The following is a 5,333-nucleotide window of genomic DNA, read 5'->3' as shown; positions in this document are numbered from 1 at the left end:
TGTGGCCCCTTCCTCCATCCTGAAGGTGCACCACTCCAATCTCTGCTTCCATCATTACATCACCTTCTCCTCTTACTCCACCTCCTCCTGTCTCCTTTTTATAAGCACCACTGTGATTACATCAGTCCCCCTCCTCTGTTCCCCTGCCACCACAATCCAGGATAACCTCTCCATGTTAAGATCCTTATCTTAATTGCATCTGCAACAATCTCTTTTGCCATATAAGGTCATGTTCACAGGTTCTGGGGATTATGTGGACATACTTTGGGGGGCATTTTTCAGCCTGCCACAGACATTGGCAAATGTGGTGCAGTTTGAAGCCTGAGACCATGATGTGATTGAGTCTGAGCTATCCTGCTGGCAAGGCCATGTGGAGGAAAACTGAGACTTCCCAGCCAATAGCCTGGCAACCACCAGAATGTGAGAGAGGCTGTCTTGGACCATCCAGCCTCAAGCGAACCACCAAATGACTGCAGAGGCATAAGTAGGCAAGACCAGCAGAACCACTCAGATGAGCCCAGCCCAAGTTGTTGATCCTCAAAATTGTGACCAAATAAAATGGTGGTTGTTTTCAGTCATTAAAGTTTTGAGTGGATTGTTACACAGAAATAGATCACTGAGGCATTTTTCTATGTACGCTATTGTTAACCTCCAGATCTTTCCTTGCTGTCTAAATCTCCTCTTAATATAATCAAGCACATACAACTTTCTGTTAATTCCATCATCTTAAAGATATTACTTCTGGAATCTTCTGGCCTACTCTAACTTGGACTCTTTCCCTCCCTACTCCTATTATATAACTGTCCTCCCCAGTCTTTCCCTTACCATCTTCCTGGGATCCCCTTTCTTAATGGGATGTAATAATTCTCTTCCATATTAGATTTCCTGTTTCCTAGATCCAATGTCTTTCTTTTTTTGGTTTACTACCCTGTTTTTGTGAAGGAAATCCTGCATTAGCCTTCTGAGAAAGGCTGCATAGAATGTAAATTTTAAGGCACTTCATGGTTGCAAATGTCTTCAGGTTATAAATTGTACTTCCTCATATTAATATTTTAATATATTTTCTCTGGGTGTAGGATGTAGAATTGGAAATGATTTACTCTTACCATTTTGAAGGCATTTCTCCATCATCTTTTAGCTTCCAGTTGCTGTTGAGAACTCTGATTCAATTCTGATTCTTCACCTTTTTAATGCAACCCACAGGTTTTTTTTTTTCCTCTTTGGAAGCCTTTGGGACCTTCTCTTTGTCCTGGGTTCTAAACTTTCACAATGGTGTGCCTGTATGTAGAGCCGTTTCCATCAGGCTTGATACTTACTTTATAAATTCATATTTTTCAGTTCTAAGAAATTTTCTTGAATTCTTTTCTTTGAAGATAGCATCTCCTTCATTTCTCTCTTCTTCTGGAAAGGCTATGATTCAGATGTTGGGCCCCCTGGACTGAGCCTTTAATTTTCTTATCAATTCACTCCTAATTTCCATTTCTTTGTCTTTTTTGCTCTACTTTCTGGAAACTTTCTTCATGCTTATCTTCCAACAGTCCTAATGCCTTTTTAACTTCTTCGCTTTCAATTCTCAGGAGCTTTTCTGCTTTTGTTTTGTTTTGGGGTTTTCCAAAAGTTATTTTAAAATATCATCTTATTCTTGCTTCAGGGATGCAAAATTATTTGGTAGAGCGCAGACTCTGAAGCCAGATTGCTTGCGTTTAGATCCAGCCTACACATTGCATAAATTTAGGTAACTTCTTTAATCTCTTTAGGCCTCAGTTTTCTCATCTGAAAAATGAAGATAATAATCCTACTTACCTTATAGGGTCATTGAGAAGATTAAATGAATTAATTCATGTAAAGGGCTTAGAATAGTATCTGCACATAGTAAAAATACTCAGTAAATTTCAACTATTATCACCATCTTATTTCTTTGATAATATTAACAATAGTTTTCTTTTTTCAGGTGTCTTTTCTCTGCATAGTGTTTGTCTCTACCAAGTTATGTCCTTTTGCTGATTGGCTTTGGCATCTCTTTTTCAAGTTAGAGGCTTCCTACAGGTGTTTGCTGACCCTTGGCTATCAGTTGATATTTAAGAGTGAGTATCAGTATTTTCAGACCTTTATGTTTGGGCTAACCAGAATCCTCAGAATAGGATACTCCAGTTTCCTTCCTAAGGGGTGGGTATAAGTCTGCCTGACATCATTCTGGGAGTGAGTGAAGAAGAGCATAGGTATTCCTGATATTTGGCATGTTAACTTCACTTACCTCTTTTTTCAGATGGTACTCACACTTTAACTCTGCCTGGTAACCTCCTGCCCAGAGATCTCCATTTTTATGCTGTCTAGGGACCATGCATCCCATGAGAAGGACAGTAGCAGATCTGTGTAAAATTGAGCAGGAAACCTGGAGTGTGGTCTTCTAAACAGACTTTTAACCAATTCTTTTATCTTCAGCCCCCCATTTACCTCTACTTCTAGAGGCATCTGGTGTCACTCATTTCTGGGCATTTGAGCAGTTCTATGCTGCATACGAGGTTCTAGGCTCTCTCCCCAACCTCAGTGCTTGCTTAGTGTTCATTTTCTCAAGTCTGCCAATTAGTTACTACTCTTTCACCTGCTTTCCATATTTTAAATTTTTCTTGCTTTGCCGCTTTGCCCATTTCCTTTGCCTTTGTGGCTTTGTCTTTTTAAACATTCACTTTTTGTTGTTTAGTGATATTTCAAGAGGATGCAGGGATAAATGTGTGTTCAATCCACCATCTTTAAACAGAAGTCTCCACTGAACTTTTATTTTAGATGCGAAGGTGTACTTAGAACTTCTACCTTGAATACCTTTAGTCAATTTGCACCTTTGTCTAACCTTTACCTCCACTAAATTGTAAACCTTTTGCATCCAGAGGTAGTGCTAATGGTTCCAAAGATACTGAGATAGAAGTTAGTGGAAGAAAGGAAGAAAAGATGCAAAGAAGGAAGGAAGGAAGAAAGGATAGAAGAAAGAAAGAAAGGAATGCTGTAAGATCCTGAAGTTGCAAAAATTATGCCAGATAAATAAGACAGTGATCATTTGATAAATTAGTTGGGCCTCAAGGGTTGCACTGATGCCTTACTTTCTACAACTCTCAGTGGCTAGCACATTAGGAGAGTCAGATATCCCACCAAATCCCACTTTTACCTCCTCTATTTCTGATAGTTTTCTGGGAAGCAAATTTCTCCAAAGCCTAGCTTCCTATGGCTATATTAATGTGAAATGTAATAATACATAACTGTAAACTAGTTTATGTGATTCCCAAATGAATGAGCAGGGGAAGGTAATTTATTATCAATTTGCATCAAATTTCAGTTAATGTAAAAAATGCAAAGCTTATTTTAATATACTTATTTCTGGGAAAGGCTTTCCATTAAATAGAGTGTCAAGTGGGGGTAACGATTTGCCTGGGGAAGAGTCTTTATGGTTTTGATGTCTGGGCTCCCTGGGAGAAATCACAGGCTCGTGGAAGGCTTTTTGGTCAGGCCCCAGGTTCAATGCACAGTAGAGGGTTGAGTTTTTTAACTTTCCTGCTGGCTGGTGAAAACATTGTGATGGATAATGACAATATGTCCAGTGGTCTCTTCTGGGATGACAGCAAGACAAGGACAAGGACTAACAGAAGGAATTGGGCATGGGAGGAGGCAGAATGTGTAGTCTCGATCTACAGAAGGGGTCAGCAAACCATGGCCCAAGGGTCAAATTCTGCCCACCACCTGCTTTTATAAATAACGTTTCATTGGAACATGGCCACACCCATTCCTTTATTTATTGTCTATGCCTGCTTTCATGCTACAATGGGAGAGTGAAATAGTTGTATCAGATACCATATGGCCTGCAAAAGTGAAAATACTTACTCTCTGGCCCTTTACACACAAAATGTGCAGACTTCTGGTCTACAGAATGGCTCTGCACCTATCTGAAAGAGTTTAGTTACAAGTGACAGAGTGTCCCAGTAACCTACTGATTTATAATAAAATACTCCAAAACTTAGTGGCTTAAAACAACAATGTTTATTTTTCCACTGAATCTGAAATTTGAGTGGAGCTTGGTGAGGAAGGCTCATCTCTGCTCCGTGTGGCATCAGCTGGAACTGCTCAGCTTGGAGTGGATGATCCACTTTCAAGGTGACTCACTCAAATGGCTAGCAAGTTGCAGTTGGCTGCCAACTGGGAGCTCAGCCAGGCTGAGGGCCAGGGACCTCAGTTCCTCTCCACGTGGGCCTCTCTACAGGCTGTTCAGGTTTCCTCACAGCCTGGAATCTGGGTTCTAAGGGCAGGAGTCCCAAGAGACAGGAAGAAGAAGATGACCTGTTCCTTAAGGCCTAGGCCCAGAAACTGACACAGACCTTCATTATATTCTATTGATCAAGTAGCCATACACCCAGACTCAACGGAAGGAGGCATAGACCTCCTACCTCTCAATGGAGGAGAGGTAAAAAAATTGTCAGGGGTCATCTTTTAAAAAAATTTATAGTGAGCCGAGATCGCGCCACTGCACTCCAGCCTAGGCGACAGAGTGAGACTCCATTTAAAAAAAAAAAATTATGATTAACATTATTTTTGATTGACAAATAATTGCATACATTTATGGGGTACAGTGTGATATTTGGATATATATATACAGCATGGGATGATTAAATCAAGCTAGTATATCCATCACCTTGCTTACCTATCATTTTCTGTAGTGAGACACTTGAAATGGATTCTTTATTTTGAAATATACAATACATTATTATTGACTATAGTCACCCTGTTGTGCAATAGATCTCAAACCCGATTCCTCCTGGCTATCTGGAACTTTGTACCCTTTGATCAACAATTCCACATTCCCTCCCTCCCCGCCCTCCCAACCTCCGGTAACCATCAATCTACTCTCTACTTCTATGAGTTCAACTTGATTAGATTCCACATATGAGTGAGGTCATGCGGTATTTGTCTTTCTGTGCCTGGCTTATTTCACTTAGCATAATGTCCTCCAGGCTCATCTACGCTGTTGCAAATGACAGGATTTCCCCCTTTTTAAAGGCTGAATAGTATTCTATTTTGTACACAGTTGGGCTTCCATGTCCATGGGTTCCACACCCTTGGATTCAACCAACTGCAAATTGAAATATTTAGAAATGTTTGGAAAAAGAAATTCCAAACAGTTCCAAAACACAAAACTCAAATTTGCCATGTGCTATTAAGTTGGTGCAAAAGTAACTGTGGTTTTTGCCATTACCACAATTACTTTTGCACCAACTTAATATGTTGAATCCACACAAATAAAGTGACATGTAGGCATTGTATTATATAATATAAATAATCTAGAAATGACA

The 5,333-nt window shown here is 39.9% G+C and overlaps 2 annotated features.

The window, feature by feature from the left end:
- Positions 4,740–5,034: an enhancer, noted in NCBI's record as "tiled region #11205; HepG2 Activating DNase matched - State 9:DNaseU". NCBI's record gives its function as "activates a minimal TATA promoter and a strong SV40 promoter by Sharpr-MPRA in HepG2 cells {active_cell/tissue: HepG2}" and the evidence as "EXISTENCE:reporter gene assay evidence [ECO:0000049][PMID:27701403]".
- Positions 4,740–5,034: a silencer, noted in NCBI's record as "tiled region #11205; K562 Repressive non-DNase unmatched - State 23:Low". NCBI's record gives its function as "weakly represses a minimal TATA promoter and a strong SV40 promoter by Sharpr-MPRA in K562 cells {active_cell/tissue: K562}" and the evidence as "EXISTENCE:reporter gene assay evidence [ECO:0000049][PMID:27701403]".

This window comes from Homo sapiens, chromosome X (assembly GCF_000001405.40).
Source record: "Homo sapiens chromosome X, GRCh38.p14 Primary Assembly".
NCBI classification, from domain to species: Eukaryota; Metazoa; Chordata; class Mammalia; order Primates; family Hominidae; genus Homo; species Homo sapiens.
The sequence above is the reverse complement of the archived record's forward strand: the minus strand, read 5'-3'. Positions and strand labels throughout refer to the sequence as shown.